A 17,780-nucleotide genomic window follows, 5' to 3' on the forward strand; every position below is an offset into this window, starting at 1 on the left:
AGAGTTTCTGCAGTGTACGGAAGTGTTAGTTTTACTGAGGATGTATTGAGTTTGTCTAGTAGATGTTTGGTCATTTGAAATGGAATATCTTAAAGATTGTGAAGGTATGAAATTGGCAGTGAGACAGAAGTGAAAGTCACTGATGGCAGACAGGTAAATACATGAATAATTCAGTAGCTCAATTCATTCCAATGTATTTTCCTTTAGCACCTGCTTTGTGCCAGGTGCTGGTGTAACTACCCAGTGAGTTCTCCTTGCTCGCTGGCTAGACAGAGTCAGTTTATAAGATAGGGGAACTGCAATAGAAAAAGAGTTTAATTCACACAGAGCCAGCTGTACAAGAGACTGGAGTTTTGTTATTACTCCCCAAACGCTTGGAGGTTAGGGGTTTTTCGGAGACAGTGTGGAGGGCAAGGGGGGTATGGTAGGGGGCATGGCATACTAATTGGCTGGGTTGGAGATGACACCATAGGGAATTGAAGCTGTCCTCTTGGGCTGAGTCAGTTCCTAGGTGGAGGACGACAGGACTCGTTGGCAGGTCCAGGTGGGGCCATCTGGTTGTCAGAAATGCAAAGGCCTAAAAAGATACCTCAAAAGGCCAGTCTTAGGTTCTATAATAGTGATGTTATCTTCAAGAGTAATTGGGGAAGTTGCAAATCTTATGACCTCCGAAAAAATGGCTGGTAATTATTTATAATTCAGGCCCCTTTCATCCTAACTTTGTGGACTTTCACTCATTTTATAAAAATAGTTTAGTTTTTGGGAGGGGCTATTATCATTTAAACTATAAACTAGGCCAGGCACGGTGGCTCACGCCTGTAATCCCAGCACTTTGGGAGGCCCAGGCAGGTGGATCACCTGAGATCAGGAGTTCAAGACCAGCCTGGCCAACATGGCTAAACCCTGTCTCTACTAAAAAATACAAAAAATTAGCTGGGTGTGGTGGTGGGCACCTGTAATCCCAGCTACTCAGGATGCTGAGGCAGGAGAATCACTTGAATCTGGGAGGTGGAGGTTGCAGTGAGCCAAGATTGTGCCACTGCACTCCAGCCTGGGCAACAGAGCAAGACTCCATCTCAAAACAAAAACAAAAAACAAACAAACAAAAGTATACTCTAAATTTCTCCCAAAGTTAGCTTGGCTCATGTCCCAGAATGAGCAAAGACAGCCAACCTGTGAGGCTAGAGTCAAGATGGACTCAGCCATGTCAGATTTTTCTCACTGTCATAATTTTCTCAGTTATAATCTTTTGCAAAGGTGGTTTTACTGGCCTAAGAGATATGGATGAATTCAGGGTGAACAGGACATTTGAGGTCTCTGGTCTCACAGAGCTTACATTCTAGTGGGAGGAGATATAATAAATAAGCAAATCAGTAACATTTCAGTGCTATAAAAAAAATCAAGGTAATAGTGTCTTCGGATGTGTTTATGGAGGCTGCTGGCTGTTGACTACCTTAGATAGTTTATCTGATAGAATGAGGAAAAGAAGTCTTTCTTCTTCTTCTTTTCTTTCTTTTTTTTTTGAGACAGAGTCTTGCTCTTGTTGCCCAGGCTAGAGTGCAGTGGTGCCATCTCAGCTCACTGCAACCTCCGCCTCCCAGGTTCAAGCAATTCTCCTGCCTCAGCCTCCTGAGTAGCTGGGATTACAGGCGCCTACCACCACGCCTGGCTAATTTTTTTGTATTTTTAGTAGAGACGGGGTTTCACCATGTTGGTCAGGCTGGTCTTGAACTCCTGGCCTCAGGTGATCTGCCTGCCTCAGCCTCCCAAAGTGCTGGGATTACAGGCGTAAGTCACCATGGCTGGCTGAGGAAAAGTCTTTCTGATGAGATTGCCAGAGGCGTTTAAACCTGGGCAACTCCATTTTGAGTAGGGGCTAGGTAAAATAAGGCTGAGACCTACTGGGCTACATTTCCAGATGGTTAGGCATTCTAAGTCACAGTATGAGACAGGAGGTCAGCACAAGATACAGGTCATAAAGACCTTGCTGATAAAACAGATTGCAGCAAAGAAGCTGGCTAAAACCCACCAAAACCAAGATGGCCATGAGAGTGACCTCTGGTTTTGCTCACTGTTACACTCCCACAGTAGCATGACAGTTTACAAATGCCATGGCATGTCAGGAAGTTACCCTGTATGGTCTAAAAGGGAAGGCATGGATAATCCACACCTTGTTTAGCATATCATCAAGAAATAATCAGAGCCCTCGGGGGTGCTCTGTCTGTGGAATAGCCATTGTTTTATTCCTTTACATTCTTAATAAACTTGTTTTCACTTTATGGACTCGCCCTGAATTCTGTCTTGCGTGAGATCCAAGAACATTCTCTTGGGGTCTGGATGCAGACCCCTTTCCGGTATAGAGAGAACATTTTAGGTGATGTCATATGTTGAGGAGCTAGCTGTGAGAAGATAAGGAGGTGGGAGTGAGGAACATTGAGAAGAAGAAACGAAAAGTGGGCGGCTCTGAGAACGTAGCTGTACCCCAGACAGAAAAGTACTATACCATTATTATATTGTACTTTGCTTCTGTGTCAGCTTTCTCTATCATCCAGTGAGCTGTACAAATTATCTCAAAATCTTTAACACCTATTATATAGTAGACATTCAGTAAATTTATTTAACAAAGGGATGGATTTAGTAATCATTTCATTAAGATTTCATGTACCAGATACCTCAGAGATACAAAAATGACCAGGTGAAGGGCTGTGCCCTCAGTGAACTCAAAGTTGTGGGAAGCAGAGTTGTGAACAATTACTGATTACTAATACAAGGTGGTCAATGCTATTGGTGCTACTACAGCATTGGAAGGATGATATCTCACTGTATTTGAAAGATATGAGGAAACTGCATAGAAGTGGCAAAGTTAGAGGTGAGTGTTGAAATGTACCTAAATTAGTTGAGGGGTGTTAAAGAAAAAATTATTCAATGATCTTATTAAGGCATGGACAGGCAGAGTGCGTTCAAGACCATTGCAATAGATATAGGAATTACTGCAACAGGGTCTTGTAGTTGGGGGAGGGATTGGGTTCAACTCCGAATATAGCATAAGCAAGTAGAAATTTATAGCAAAGAGCAGGCTGAGGGTCAGTGGATGAAAAATTACTAAGAGGAAATATCAGAGGTAAAGAGAATTCTGGTTAAACTCATCTCAAAGGATTCTTGCTGAAGACAGCCAGGGTAATCAGACTTCACCTGGGGGTGAAAAGCGAAAGCGAAGGATGAGGACCCCAGTCAGATATCTAGGATGGGGGATTCTTACCAAACTGACATAGCACGGTTCTTTGCTAAAACTGGATTTTACAAGAAAGTACACAGACAGACCTAGGACATGGCTGGTTTTCAAAAACCCCAAGAAGTTTAGGAGTAGAGACAATAAGTTAAAACCAGGAGTATATGCAGAAAGAGTAGTAGGCCAGGAAGCGTATTCAGGAAGTGTCTGTGGATCACATTGAGGGACTAAGTGGCTAAGTTGGCTGGACTTCCTGGTTCAATAGGGACTTCCCTAAGGGGACTTTCCCCTAAGCCAAAATGAGTCATAGCTGCAAGCTAAGGGATTGAAACTTCAACCAATCAAAGGGGACTTTCCCCTAAGCCAAAGTGAGTCCCAGCTGCAAATTAAGGGATTGAAACTTCAGCCAATCATATAGAGAGTTTAAGCTCTAGCTGCAGCCTGATGTTTTTAACCAATCAGGCCCACCAACCTAAGAGAGGAGACCACCCCTCATATTGTGTTATGCCCAATTTCTGCCTCCAAAGAAAGAAGAATTTAAAACAAAAAGGCAGAAATGAAATCCACAGGCAGACAGCCCAGCACTGTGCTCTGGGCCTGGTAGTTACAGATTGACCCCTGACCTAACCGATATGTTATCTATAGATTCCAGACATTGTATGGAAAAGCATTGTGAAAATCCCTGTCCTATTCTGTTCTGTTCCGATTACCAGTGCATGCAGCTCCCAGTCACATACCCACTACTTGCTCAATCGATCACGACCCACTCACGCAGACCCTCTTAGAGTTGTATGCCCTTAAAAGGGACAGGAATTGCTCACTCCGGGAGCTCGGTTTTCGAAGATGTGAGTCCGCCAATGCTCCCAGCTGAATAAAGCCCTTTCCTTCCATAACTCGGTGTCTGAGCGGTTCTTGTCTGTGGCTCGTCCGGCTACAAACCCACAAGTGGATAGAAAATAACCTAATCCTATGGGACAGAAAAAGGAAAAGGGGAGGAGTCATAAGGGGATATAAACATAAGATACCCAAACCAGAAATGGCAACCCTTCCAGGTTCCCTTCCACCACGTGGAAGCTTTACTTTCGCTTTCCCTTTACTTTTGCTTTGGCTTTAATAAATCTTGCCACCGCACAGTCTTTGGGTCCACGCATTTCTCTAGTGAAGCTGTAACACTTGCCACTGTGGTCCACGGCTTCATTCCTTGAAGCCTGTGAGACCATGAACCCTTCGATCGAGAAAAACCTTTGATCGGAAGAAGACTTCTCGTCTCAACATTAAAGGACAAAGAAGCCAACTCTAAGGCATGCCATTAGCTTTAATAATCTGAGTGTAATAAATAATAATGATCATAACGGATTAAAACATCAGATCTGTAAAAAATGCATGCATTCATAATGATATCAAACAAACAAAAACTTTGTGGTTAACTCTGGAGTTTGGTAGGGCACCAACTCATGTCTCTGAAATTTCATAATTAAAAAGAACAAATCCAGCATTTACCCAGTCTTTCCTCTATGAGATTATCCTGGTTATCTCAGGATAACCAATGAGTTGGTATGAAAAGATTCCTTTTATAGAAGAACCTCTGGTAATAATAGAGAATTATTGAAAGGATTAGAAATTCACTGCTCTAGGATAAAAGACTTAAGAGACATACCAAAATGCAACATGAGGACTTTTTTTGGATCTTGACTGGAACAAACCAACTATAAAAGATAATTTGGACTCAAACAGGAAAATTGGAATTATTTATAGTACTAAGGAATTATTGTTAATTTTGTTAGATATGATAACGGTAGTTAAATTTTTAAAATCTATGTCAGTTTGAGATGCAGACTAATTTAAGGGTAAAATAATATTATGTCTAGGATTTCTTTAAAAAAGAGGGGAAGGAAACTGAAACTTGATTGGCAAAATGTTGCTAAATGTTGATTCTGAGGGATGGGTTACTTGAGGGTTTGTTATTAAAAGTAGAATCACTTTTGCTTATGTTTAAAATTTTCCATTATAAATAGTTTTCAAAAGCAGAGCCAGTGCCTACCCCACATCATCTTCTGTTATTTAATGCCCAGGACTCAGAAAGGGTCAGCAGTCTCAGATCAACAGTTACTGATGTCCTAACCCATCCTAAACACTGATGCTAATGAGTGTGGGGCAAAGTTCACAGCGTGCTAAGGAGCAACATTTAGGAACCTGACTGGATTCCGCAGCTCTCGGGACAAGCCCCCTGGAAAAGGGCTGGGGGGAGGGGCGGGGAGGCACCCAATTATTCTAGAAGGTTCTGAGATCTCCCAGGGATTTCCGAGAGGCTACGAGGTGTAACTGGCAAATCAATGACTTAAGAGTAGCTTTCTCCCAGCCTCCCCGCTGGCTCTGGAGTATAGAGGGAAGCCAGCCTTTTCCTCCCCCATCCTGCCCCTCCCCTCTCTTCTCATCTTCCCCTCCACTCTCCTCCTGACCCTGGCCTGGCCACTCCTGCTTTCACTTCTCTCCACTCCTCTTCGGCCCCGCCCCGCGGCCTCCTCCCTCCTCCTTGCCCCGCCCCCTATCCCTGCGCGCCGGCGGCCGTTACCATAGCGACGTGCACGCAGTAGCCAGGCCTGACCCGCTGGTCCCTTGCTGGCGGGAGGAAAGAGGCGGCACCATGAGCCACGCAGTAACCATCGAGGAGCCCCAGGCCCAGCCGCAGGTGTCTCAAACTCGGTACCGGGAGAGGTCGCGGGCTGGGAGCCACATCTCCTCCAATCGAGCGTATGATTTTCTGTACGGTAAGGACCGCCGCAGACCTTCCTCCGCGTCCGTCGCCTCCTAGGCCAGGTGGGCTCCCAGATGGTGGGACCTGGCCAGGGGCATGGCGAACGAAACACGACCCTCTGGACTGACCTCTTGCCCACGGTTGTCCTTGGTCGGGTGGGGGCAGCTCCGAGCCCTCCAGGTGGCCGCACTCAGGTTGGGGTCGGGGGTTCGGGTACATCGAAAGGCGCGGGTGCGCTCCGCTTCGGGGGGCGATTTTCCTGAAACCTGTTCCGGGCGTTTTGGTACCCAGAAAGTGTGCAACGATTTGTACACTCGGAGATTCACTCAACGTTCCTGCATAAAATGCCCTACAAAAATGATCTTTTCTCTCCAACTCTCTGGGCAAATCCAAGTTGGGCGAAAAGAAGTGCCAGTTTATCCCATGCTTGTTTTTAGGTTTTTTGTTGTTGTTGTTGTTTGTTTTTTTTAACTTCTGCGTCAAAGCATTGCTTATAGACTGGGTCCGCTGGCTCCTCTTGGGCCAATAAAACCCCAGTTTATTTTAACGGCTTGGTTGTCCATTTTATGTTTTCTCTCTCTCCACGCTCCTTGAGTTCCTTAAGTTCCTGTTCTACACATTTTTGTAGCCTTCTGAGCACCTATTCTAGTGCTGATACATATACTAGGCGCTTCAATAAATAAATGTTTATTGAATTTGCCGTGGCAAGAACTGTAACCAGCTATAAGCATGATTTTTTCCAATTTTGCCCTCTGCAATCCCAGGTTTTTCACCTGAACCTTGCATTGCTTTCAGCAATGTGGTGTTGCCTCTGGGAATCCCAGTCTCCTTTGTGTGGGAATCTAGGGTACACATTCCTAGATAGAGGCTGTGTAATGATTGCTGACATATTCTGGCCAGTGTTTTTCTGTATTTACTCTTGGTTTTGTGAAATAAATCAAGTTAGCTCCTGTAAACACATCACCATGTTTTTTTTTCACGGGTAATTTGAGAAGGAGGACAAACATCTCCCCAAAGTATTTATTAAGCTGGTTGTTTCTTTGATGCCGAAGTGTCTCTTTTGCAGAGGAATTGCTAAATGTTTCCATGTCCCTTGCTAAGAACAGAAATTCACTCAGAGTAGATCAAATAAAAGTTTGGATTGTTATAAAACAATCTCGCCGCTAGTCATGGACAGGAAGCGAAGTATAGCCAGGGCGGATGAGAACCTGGATGGGGAAAATCAGAACTAAGATGCTGTGCTCTCCTGCTTTCTTTCTTTGACCTTATGACCTTTCACCTTGTTAGGGTTGCCACATTTAGCAAATAAAAATACAAGAGGCACCGTTAAGCTTGAATTTCAGATAATGAATAATATTTTAGTATAAATTTTTGTCCTGTGCAATATTTTGGAACACATTTATACTAAAAAATTATTCATTGTGTATCTGAATTTAAATTTAACTGGGCATCCTGTATTTTATCTGGCAACTCTAGCCTTCTTTCTATGTATAATCAAGCCCCAAGTAATGATATTTCGGTCAACAGTGGACTACATGTATAAGGATGGTCCCATAAGATTATAATGAAGTTGAAAAACTCCAATTACTTCGTGACATTGTAGCTGTCATAACATTGTAGCCCAATGCATCACTTTTTCTGTGTTTAGATATACAAATACCATTGTGTTACAACTGTCTACAGTATTCAGTACAATAACATGCTGTATGGGTTTGTAGCCTAGGAGCAATAGGCTATACTATATAGCCTAGGTGTGGAGTAGGCTATACCAGCTAGGTTTATGTTAAGTACCCTCTGATATTTACACAACGATAAGCTCACCTCATAACCCGTTTCTAAGAACGTATCCCCATCATTAAGCAACACATCTCTATGCTTGCTTCCTTCCATCTGACAGAAAGCCTCTTGTGTATGGATTTCTCTTACTATGATAGGGACTAGGGTGGCGTGCTTCTTGACTAATTAGCCCTAAAGCTCACCACCAATTGTATAGCGTCTTTGTGTATTGTAGCTGAAAATTTAAGTTAGAAATTTAAGATTGGTTGTTGGCTGGCCAATGAATTGACTGGCCTTGGGCCAGGTTTCCACCTTGACAGAACTGTGGTGGTGCAAAGATGAACACCTTTCCAGGTTCTTTTACCCTTCCTTATGAAGCCCTATGTGATTAGTTCCCTAGTTACTTCTCTGGCCTCTTATCTACTCTCTTTCCCCTCCTTCATTCTGCCTCATTTGTCCTGGTTTCTTTGCTATTCTTCAGACGTATCAGGCATGTTCCCATCCTAGGGACTTTGCTGTTCTTCAGATGTATCAGGCATGCTCCCATCCTAGAATGTTCTTCAGATATCTAACTAGCTAACTCCCTCACCTTCAAGTCTCCTTACATGCCACCTTCTCAAGGGCCTGCCCCGACCACCCTAGTTAAAATTGCAACCCAATCTTCCTTACCCGATTTCTTCTTTTTTAAAAATAACAACCCTCAAATTCTAATGTGTAATTTGCTAGTTTATTATGTTTGTTGTTTGTTGTCTCTCTCTCATGAAGTCAAAGATTTTTGTCGTTTTGTTGATGTATTCTAAGCACCTAGATAGAGTAGCCAGTCAATAAACATGTGTTGAATGAAGGAGCAAAAAGAGCCTGAGCCTCTTGCAGCTTTTCAGCCTTGGTGGGAATATCCAATGTCTGCATTCAGTAAATCGTATTTGTTGGGTTACTAATGAATTATTAGGTTTTAGGAATTGACACACATTATCCAAATTCAAAAGAGACTTGTTTCTAAATCACAATTCCCAAATTATTAATTTCTATGGAGAAATATGTGTTACCATGTTATCTAGACTAGCTGGTCAGGGTATTTGCCTCCCCAGAGACAAGTCTACTTGGGAAATCAAGTGTATCCAAAGGCTGCTTGTTAATTTAATGGCAAATCAGTTGATTTTAAAGGGTGGTACAGTATAGTCAATCATGAATATTCTTCATCACTTTAAAGATATACCTGATAAACAGATACTTATAATAGCAGGGCAATATTTTGTTGAACTTTGTAAAAATAACAGTTCCATCATCAGCAAACTTACAAACTTAAGGGGTGAATTCTGAAGATAGCTGATTTTTTTTTTAACCGTGTTCACCAATTCTGAGATATCATGTGGTTTGCATCTTTCTAGTGCACCAAATATGGGAGATGGTATAAATGTATTGCTTCTTTCACTTGCAAATTGGCATAGTGCGTATATACAAGGTCTTTCCCTTGAAGAATTTTTTGGGTTACCCAGGCTCAAAAGGAGTTTTGTTCATAGGAGAGAAGAAAGTGTGTTCAGGGTGTAGTACTTGAAAACATGCTAGACTTTCTTTATGAATTCCACTTCCGTAAGCTGACTTGGAATACTCAGAAAAGAAAAACATCTTGACAACTGTTGCTGGTAGAAGTGGTAGAGTAACAGGGCCACATGCACAACAGAGCATGAGCTGCTGCAGAGTCAGACAATATTTAAACTTTTAAATTTGTTTTCCAATTAAGAGATTACATTACTTTGCCATTATTCTCAGCCTAGGGGTAGATATGTTCTATCTGTTATGCTACTTGATTGTTTATTTTGCAGATCCATTGTTTATTGTGTCAAGTGAGAAAGACCATACACAGGCAAATATCCAAGCTACCCTGATTCGCAGCAGACTGGTATGTCTAATTCATCAGCCAAGGCTACCTGATGAACCTGAACCATCTAGTTTGCCTGACTGCATTGATCAGATTGACTAATCACCAAATCTTCACTGGATTTTAGGTTCCACAGAAATTACCTTGCCAAGATTACTGGAGGGCAAAGCATCTTAATACGTGTGGCTCATTGTGAGGATTAAGTCACCAATAATGAACAGAGAACCCATAAGCTAATTTATTTCAATGGGATAAATTTAATAATATATGCCCATGTTAAAAGAATTCAAGTAGTATAAAAGCATATACAGTGTGAAGTAAATTCTAGCCCTATCCCCTACCCCCTCCACATAAACAGCCATTGTCATCAGTTTCTTGGGCATGTATTTAAAGATATTTTACGCATACAGCAATAACCCCTCTTCTTATGCTGTATACATTGTTTTGTATGTTTTTAAAAAGAGTTTACAATGTAATTAAAATGCTTTAGAAAAGCTGATGGTATAATTTTGTCCTTTGCCTCCCTTCTCTAACATTAGAGAAAAGTTCCCAGGTTTAAAACCATGTTCAGTAACCTGATCCATTATCCAAGATATTCTCTATATTGGAGCAAGTCAGATCCTGTCCCACCATTTATCAGTCGGGAATGGAAGGGACATAAGGAGAAACACAGAGAAGCCCTCCGGCAGCTCACCACGTAAGTGTCGGGTGGCTCCAGGGCCTAAAATAAATGCATTAAAAGCATTTCTTTAAATTCATTTACCATGTGTGGTTTTAAAATGTTCAGTTGTGGTGTTATACCTAGGCCAAATTTTCTTTCTAAACCTCTTTTGACCAAACAAACCTGATTATATATTGTATATATGAGATATATATATATATATAATTTTGTCATATATATAATGACAACTTGCCACCAAAGGTAGGGATGATTGAGTTTGTTGTTGCTTGGATCCAACTTAGCAACTGAAAGTGCTCTGTTCTGCTAGTATCTAAAATATTTTTTGGGAACTTGGGGCCAAAGCACCTTCAAGAATAAGTCGAATTCTTTATTCTTTTAATTACTTACAAGTTCACATTTAGTAAATTAAAAATTATAAAGCCTTTTAACCTGGACATAGAAAAAGTGTCTTTTGGCCAGGCACAGTGGCTCACGCCTGTAATCCCAGCACTTTGGGAGGCCGAGGCAGGCGGATCATGAGGTCAGGAGATTGAGACCATCCTGGCTAACACGGTGAAACCCCGTCTCTACTAAAAATACAAAAAGTTAGCCGGGTGTGGTGGCAGGTGCCTGTAGTCCCAGCTACTTGGGAGGCTGAGGCAGGAGAATGGCATGAACCCAGGAGGTGGAGATTGCACCACTGCACTCCAGCCTGGGTGACAGAGCGAGACTCTGTCTCAAAAAAAAAAAAAAAAAAAATTGTCTTTTAATATTTTGCTATTCTTGTGTGCTTTTAATTAAAATTGGGCATTTTTGTATGTGGGATTTCATAAATCCACTCTTTTCTCAGCTCTTGCTCTGTCTGACTAGGTTCTGGTCTCCTGGCTCAGGGGAAGAATCATATATACTCTAAGTTGTATGGCAGTCAAATGCAGGTTATGGAAGACTTTACTCTCAGTATGAGATACTCTGTGTAGGTCCTACTCTATACACATAGAAATATTAAATAGAAATTATATGTGGAAATATTTTAGACTTGAATAATGTTTTCTTGCTTCATTTTAGAACTGACGCTTCTTTTCAGATGCCTAAAGAAGTTTATGAAGATCCTGAAGTTACTGGAAAGAATCGCTATAAATACTTTGAAAGGTAGAACATAATTACTAATGAATATTTGAGCCCTAATATTATTAGAGAACCTCTTTATGATAATAATAATAGTTATCATTTTTCAGTGCATACAACGTGCCAGACTCTATTTTAAGTGCTTTACATGCATATGATCTAATCGTTAAAACAGGAATGTAGGCTAAGATATATATGATCCCTGTTTTACCAGTAATGAAGCTGAGACCGAGAGATGATAAATAGATTGCTCAAGGTCATATAAGCTAGCAAGGGGTAGATCTGGGGTTCCAACTAAGCCTGCCTGACTTTAGAGATACTGATTGCAACTAAGAATATGTATTTGAAAATATTTGAAATGAAGTCATCAAATGAACGACACACAGTTGGAGATACCATGAAGTCATAGTGAAGGGGAAACTTGTGTTCAAAGGGATAACATTTGTTCTCTTTGTATGAATCTTGCCTAAACCAACAAGGCCAAAAGGTTCATTTTATTTCATTTGTGATTTATGCTTATGTAATAACCATATACTCAAATCAAATTAAAATTAGATGGGGATTTCCTTATATATCCTACTGGAGTTAGAAAAAATAGTCTTGATACCACATCTGTATAAGCTTCCTTGAGAAAGTAAATTTCTAATCCACATTATTATTTATGAGCAACCTCCTTATGGAAATTTTGTGATACTGACTTTTCCAGAGAAATGTTAAATTCTTAACTGTTAACTATACAATTCTGTACAGTTAACTGTACAATTCTTAACTTTTAGGGGGAGGCTTCATATTAAATCACTGTGAATTCCAGAATGTCTCAGGAACTTGAGAAGTTGTTGGGAACTAATGGCCAGCTGAAGCCCAAGTACAGGGCTTAAAGTGTGGCTTCTTCAAGTGTGACTTGTTTCCCATCTGAAGAGAAAATACTGGAGTGTTTATTAAGAATGCACATTCATTGGCTCTACCCTATATGTACTGAATCTCATGGGCCAGACCTGGGAATCTGCATTTTAGACAAGAACCTCCCCACCCTGCAGTGATTTTTTATGTCCAGAAGTTTGAGTAACACTGATATATGGGATATTTAAGCTCACTGATTTTTAAGGGACAAATATTAGAGCTGGAAGAGAGCTTAGAGTGCATTCATTGCAAAAGTCCCACACATTTATGTTTTCTTTTTCCTCCCAGGCCTTTTCTCCCATTTTTTCAGCAGATGCCATTCAATGTTGTTTATGCCGTATCCAAGTAAGTAACCATTATTTGAAAACTCTTTTTCAGTTTATTTATTGTTTGCTTCCATATTTTTTCTTAGAAGATAGTTCACTAAATCACTATTTTTCAAATTGTGGATCACAAAACATTAGAAGGGTATGAAATCTTCTAGTGTGTCATGAGCAGCATTTTAAAACATGAAACAGAATAGAAAATAACCAAAGCATCAAGTATATGGAGGGTAAGTTGGTTTTTGTTTATAACTTTTGTTTCAGAAAAATATATGCATATGTTTATATGTATATGATGGATTATGATATAAAATGTATTTCTTACTGTTAGTTGTCCATTTGTGCTGCTATAACAAATTAACAGATTGGGTGATATAAATAAAATAAATTTATTTCTTGAAGTTCTGAAGGCTGGGCAGTCCAAGAAGCAAGGCAGTCCAATGGGCAGTCAGTGTCGGTGAGGGCCTTCTTGCTGTGTCTTCACATGGCAGAAGAAGCAAATGCTGTGTCCTCACGTGGAGGAAGGTGGAAGGCCAAAAAGGACCTATGCTAGTTCTCTGTAATCCTTTTATAAGGCACTAATCCATTGATGAGGGTGGAGTCCTCGTGACTTAATCACTTCCCCTAAAAGCCTTACCTCTTAATACCACGACAATGGGGACTAAGTTTAAACATGAATTTTGGAGAAGACACAGACACATATTCAAATTGTAGCAGTTGTAGTTTAAAAAAGTTGAAAAGTGCTTTAAATATCTTCTTTTGCTTCTCTGAAACACTTATTTGATGACAGTTCTTCAACATTTCATTAAATAAACAAATCAGTCATGTAATATTTTTTGAATGCTAGAATTTTATAACTTAATAACCATCTAATCTACACAGATAATGTGGTATACAAAGATAAATAAAACATGGTTTCTGCCCCACAACGGAGTGAACCAAGGTAAGAGGGAGGTAAGGGACAAGGGCTGAATCTGAGACAAATGTGTATTTCTTGTCTCTAGTTTCAGGACAAGACAGCAGACTGGTAGAGTATTCCTTTAAAAATCTAATTTTTGCTACACTCTTTCCTCTGTTAATATAATTTAATATTTCTGTAAGAGAAAAAAGTCTAAGGTATTCATGAAATTATCAGGAATAGAAACCTTTTTTAAGGTCTCATATTTCTGAATACAAATTTATTCAGGACTAGGTTTTCAAGGGTGCATTTAAAGAATATAGTTATTCCTAATAATATATATCATCATATGAACAGGACATGTGTTATTAAATGTCTGTAATCCTCAAGATAAATGCTAGTTATGACTCTACTTCACCCTTGACATTTTTTTAAGACTGTGTGGATGGCTTTGGCTCTTTATAGAGATGGAGTACAGATTCCCTGCTCTCCCTAGACAGAGCAACTTCTTGGGGTACCAGTTTATCCAGAAATAGCTGTAGACTTATATTCTATGAAATGTTTTGTATGAGCAAAAGGGGAGCTATGAGCTATGTAGATCCCTAAAGAGCCTTCTGGTAATTCTTTAAAATCAGGCTCACTGAATTACCTGCTTTGGAGGTCATAACTGCCTCAGTCTAAAAGTTGTTAACTAATTCTAGGGAGTTCAGAGGCCTGCAGTGATGAACACCATGACCTCCCCAACTCCTCCCTAAATAACCGTGACACAAGGGATAAAGATTCCATCCAAGAGTTAAACCATGACATTTGACATTGTAGCTACTCTCTATCTGTCTTAGAACTTTTTAAAGAATGAATCAGTATTCCTGAGTGAGGTCAATTCTGGAATTCCAGTATGTTTGAGTTTCTGAGCAGTGAGTATAATGCCACCTTGTGTTATCAGGGATGGAATTGTCTTGGGACCAGCTGGCCTTCTCCAGCCACACCCTTTTCATGGCTAGCTGTTGGAGTCTTTCCTTTGGATTCTACATAAGCACCTTTTCAAAGAGAATAAAAAGTTAATACTTTTAAAACATTCAATGAAGTTCATAGTAGAACAGGATTTGCTAGGTTTGTGAAGCCCCTCTCTGTACAGCTCTGTTGGGGCTGGGAGAGAAAATCTAGAAGACTGTAGGTATGGCAGACAGTGCATGCTCCTGGTGCCTGGGCAGTGGTGGAGGAGGAAAGGGCCTGGATAGAACACATAGAGCAGCCCTGGCTGCCATAAGAGTACTAAAGCCAGAGCAGGTGAGCCTGAGGGCAGGAGCCAGGACACAGCAGGGGTCAGGCCAGCATGGAGCAGATGTGGGACCTTTCTGAGTTTGGGTCCTGTTTGAGGTTGGGGAGGAGGTGGGAAAGGGATCATTGCTCTTTGTTACTCATATTTTACTCTCCCCTAAAGCCAACAGAAATGGGGAAAAAATAGGTTGGAGAAATTAAGAAGTTAGTTAAGAAACCATGTATTAAGTTACTGAAAGAGTTCAAAGTAGCTTTCCTCTTTTACATTCTATTCCCTGACCCACCTGGAAAGATACGAAGCCAGAAACCTTCATCAGAGGAGTTCATTAGGCCTTATTATAAACTAAGCACATTTGATCACATGGTTCAAATGTGTAATTATTTAATTTGAGAAAAAATAATTTATTCTCTTGATTCAAGATAATGGTGCAGTAATATAATAAAACTTCATGTGACTTCGGATGACAAAGCTGATTTGAAGTTATTTATTCAACTAGAATTTTATAGTAGAATAATTTCTACTGAAAACATAAGAAGCCATATATTATCTACATGTTAGAAATTTATAGCAACTATTGGAAAGTGACTTCAATAGCAGTTACAGTTCAGCATTACAAACTAAAGCCCGTGTGCGGTGGCTCAGACCTGTAATCTCAGCACTTTGGAAGGCCGAGGCAGGAGGATAACTTGAGGTCAGGAGTCTGAGACCAGCCTGGCCAACATGATGAGACTCTGACTCTACTAAAAATACAAAAATTAGCTGGGTGAGGTGGTGGGCACCTGTAATCCCAGCTACTTGGGAGGCTGAGTCAGGACAATCACTTGAACCCGGGAGGTGGATGTTGCAGTGAGCTGAGATCACGCCACTGTCCTCAAGCCTGGGTGGCAGAGTGAGACTCCATCTCAAAAAACAAAACAAGACAAAAAAAAAAAACAACTATTTAAAGTACTTGCTCCAGCACAGGTTGAACTTCCAAACAGGTATTTCTTTCTAACTGGCTTGAAATGCTTTTTTAAAAAATTTTTATTTTATTTTTATTTATTTATTTATTTATTTATTTATTTATTTATTTATTTATTTATTTTTTGAGATGGAGTCTTGCTCCATCACTCAGGCTGGAGTGCAGTGGCGTGATCTCGGCTCGCTGCAACCTCCACCTCCAGGGTTCAAGTGATTCTCCTTCCTCAGCCTCCCAAGTAGCTGGGATTACAGGTACGTGCCACCACACCCAGCTAATTTTTTGTATCTTTAGTAGAGAGGGAGTTTCACATGTTGGCCAGGCTGGTCTCGAACTCCTGACCTCATGATCCGCCTGCCTTGGCCTCCCAAAGTGCTGGGATTACAGGCATAAGCCACTGTACCTCGCCCTTTTTTTTTTTTTTAAACATCTTTGGTGTATGTATTTGCTGTGCTCGTATATAAGCTCTTACCATTGCCTCTGTTTTTCAAAATGGAAATATCTCTTTGTTTTTGCCTTCATCTTTAGTTATTTATGTAATTTAATCAATGCTTTCACCAACTTGAAAAAAATGCCTTAAGTCAAAGTGGCTATATTGGTTTTTTTCTTATTCTAGAGGCAATGCATGTACATGTTAAAAAAGAAGATTCAGAAAAGTATAAAGATGAAAAAAATTATCTGTATAATTTTACCATCTAGAAATAATTACTATTAATTTATTGTATATACATCTAGGTATTTTTGTATGCATAAAAACACAGTTTTAAAATGTAAAAATGGAATCCTACTATACATACCATTTAATAGTGTCATTTTTTTCTTCTTTACAATGAATCATGGATATTTTTGAATGCTCACAGGTATAGATTACATTATTATTTTGAATAGCTGCATAAATTCCATTATGGCTGTTTCATATTTTTTTAAACAATTCTCGTATTGATGTGATCATTTAAGTTTCTAATTTTTCACTCTTAGAAATGAGACTTTATGAACATGTTTGCATATATATCTTTGAATACCTGTCCAGTTATTTCCTAGAATAAATTCCTAGGAGTAGAAATGCTGGAGCAGCCGGGCGCGGTGGCTCACGCCTGTAATCCCAGCACTTTGGGAGGCAGAGACGGGCGGATCACGAGGTCAGGAGATCGGGACCATCCTGGCTAACATGGCGAAACCCCGTCTCTACTAAAAATACAAAAAAAAAATTAGCCGGGCGTGGTGGCGGGCACCTGTAGTCCCAGCTACTCGGAAGGCTGAGGCAGGAGAATGGCCTGAACCCAGGAGGCGGAGCTTGCAGTGAGCCGAGATCGCGCTACTGCACTCTAACCTGGGCGACAGAGCGAGACTCCGTCTCAAAAAAAAAAAAAAAAAAAAGAAAGAAACGCTGGAGCAAAGCGTATTTTAACTTGTCAATTTGGTGTACCTATTTGTATTTCCATCAACAGTTTATGAGAAGGCCTGTTTCTTCACAACATAATCAATGCTAGGTACTTTCAGTCTTTTAAATCTTTGCTTATGTGATAAAATAGCATAAAATAGTATCTTGCTGTTTTACTTTTCTTTGATTACTAGTTATTTTCATTATCTTCTCATATGTTTGTTAGAAGTTTTACTTTTTGTTTTGTGAATTCTCCTTTACTCATTTTTCCATGGGGTATTTAACTGCCTAATTGATTTACAAGGGCTTTTTATATAGAAAGGCTATTTAAACTTTTTATCATATATGTTCCAAAACCTTTTTCTAAGTTTGCCATTCACCTTTTAAATTTGTTTGTGATATTTTGAGGCATAGAAGTTGAAACTTACCCTCAATTCTATTGATCATCTCCTTTTATGGTTTCTGGCTTTTAAGCCCGGCTTAAAAAGACCTTCACTCAAAGATGATATAAATATTGACTTATGTTTCCTGTTAGTACTTTTATAGTCTCATTTTTACATTAATTTTTTTAAAGATCTGGAATTAATTTTTCTGCAAGAGACAAGCTAACTTTCCC

The 17,780-nt window shown here is 40.1% G+C and overlaps 1 protein-coding gene and 1 long non-coding RNA gene across 5 annotated transcripts in view, besides 8 other annotated features; one reads left to right on the top strand and one right to left on the bottom strand.

Moving 5' to 3' along the window:
* Positions 274-323: an enhancer, noted in NCBI's record as "active region_20322". NCBI's record gives its function as "activates an Ori minimal core promoter by ATAC-STARR-seq in GM12878 lymphoblastoid cells {active_cell/tissue: GM12878}" and the evidence as "EXISTENCE:reporter gene assay evidence [ECO:0000049][PMID:35858748]".
* Positions 2,643-5,818, bottom strand: LOC105374064 (uncharacterized). Its single transcript, XR_924391.4, has 3 exons — positions 5,271-5,818; positions 3,967-4,196; positions 2,643-3,192 (listed from the first exon to the last, which is right to left on the bottom strand). It is a non-coding gene; the product is annotated as an uncharacterized LOC105374064 (long non-coding RNA).
* Positions 3,298-3,697: an enhancer, noted in NCBI's record as "active region_20323". NCBI's record gives its function as "activates an Ori minimal core promoter by ATAC-STARR-seq in GM12878 lymphoblastoid cells {active_cell/tissue: GM12878}" and the evidence as "EXISTENCE:reporter gene assay evidence [ECO:0000049][PMID:35858748]".
* Positions 3,298-4,616: a biological region, named in NCBI's record as "MED14-independent group 3 enhancer GRCh37_chr3:119419489-119420688".
* Positions 3,417-4,616: an enhancer, noted in NCBI's record as "MED14-independent group 3 enhancer chr3:119419489-119420688 (GRCh37/hg19 assembly coordinates)". NCBI's record gives its function as "activates an origin of replication core promoter dependent on BRD2, BRD4, P300/CBP and CDK7 cofactors, and independent of MED14, by STARR-seq in HCT116 cells {active_cell/tissue: HCT116}" and the evidence as "EXISTENCE:reporter gene assay evidence [ECO:0000049][PMID:35650434]".
* Positions 5,283-5,962: an enhancer, noted in NCBI's record as "NANOG-H3K4me1 hESC enhancer chr3:119421355-119422034 (GRCh37/hg19 assembly coordinates)". NCBI's record gives its function as "activates a minimal SCP1, AML or CMV promoter by ChIP-STARR-seq in primed H9 embryonic stem cells {active_cell/tissue: H9 hESC(primed)}" and the evidence as "EXISTENCE:reporter gene assay evidence [ECO:0000049][PMID:30033119]".
* Positions 5,676-5,845: a silencer, noted in NCBI's record as "silent region_14632". NCBI's record gives its function as "represses an Ori minimal core promoter by ATAC-STARR-seq in GM12878 lymphoblastoid cells {active_cell/tissue: GM12878}" and the evidence as "EXISTENCE:reporter gene assay evidence [ECO:0000049][PMID:35858748]".
* Positions 5,797-17,780, top strand: part of CFAP91 (cilia and flagella associated protein 91) — a 64,081-nt gene continuing 52,097 nt past the window's right edge. Inside the window, exons 1-5 of one of the 4 annotated variants that reach the window (NM_001320316.2) lie at positions 5,797-6,046; positions 9,584-9,660; positions 10,179-10,336; positions 11,366-11,449; positions 12,614-12,670. In NM_001320316.2, the coding sequence (NP_001307245.2) occupies positions 5,983-6,046; positions 9,584-9,660; positions 10,179-10,336; positions 11,366-11,449; positions 12,614-12,670 (440 nt within the window). In that variant the 5' untranslated portion in view covers positions 5,797-5,982. The remainder of the gene's footprint in view (positions 6,047-9,583; positions 9,661-10,178; positions 10,337-11,365; positions 11,450-12,613; positions 12,671-17,780) is intronic. The other 3 variants (NM_033364.4, NM_001320317.2, NM_001320318.2) reach the window with 3 other exon arrangements.
* Positions 5,956-6,005: an enhancer, noted in NCBI's record as "active region_20324". NCBI's record gives its function as "activates an Ori minimal core promoter by ATAC-STARR-seq in GM12878 lymphoblastoid cells {active_cell/tissue: GM12878}" and the evidence as "EXISTENCE:reporter gene assay evidence [ECO:0000049][PMID:35858748]".
* Positions 6,056-6,115: an enhancer, noted in NCBI's record as "active region_20325". NCBI's record gives its function as "activates an Ori minimal core promoter by ATAC-STARR-seq in GM12878 lymphoblastoid cells {active_cell/tissue: GM12878}" and the evidence as "EXISTENCE:reporter gene assay evidence [ECO:0000049][PMID:35858748]".

Source organism: Homo sapiens, chromosome 3 (genome assembly GCF_000001405.40).
Source record: "Homo sapiens chromosome 3, GRCh38.p14 Primary Assembly".
Classification (NCBI taxonomy): domain Eukaryota; kingdom Metazoa; phylum Chordata; class Mammalia; order Primates; family Hominidae; genus Homo; species Homo sapiens.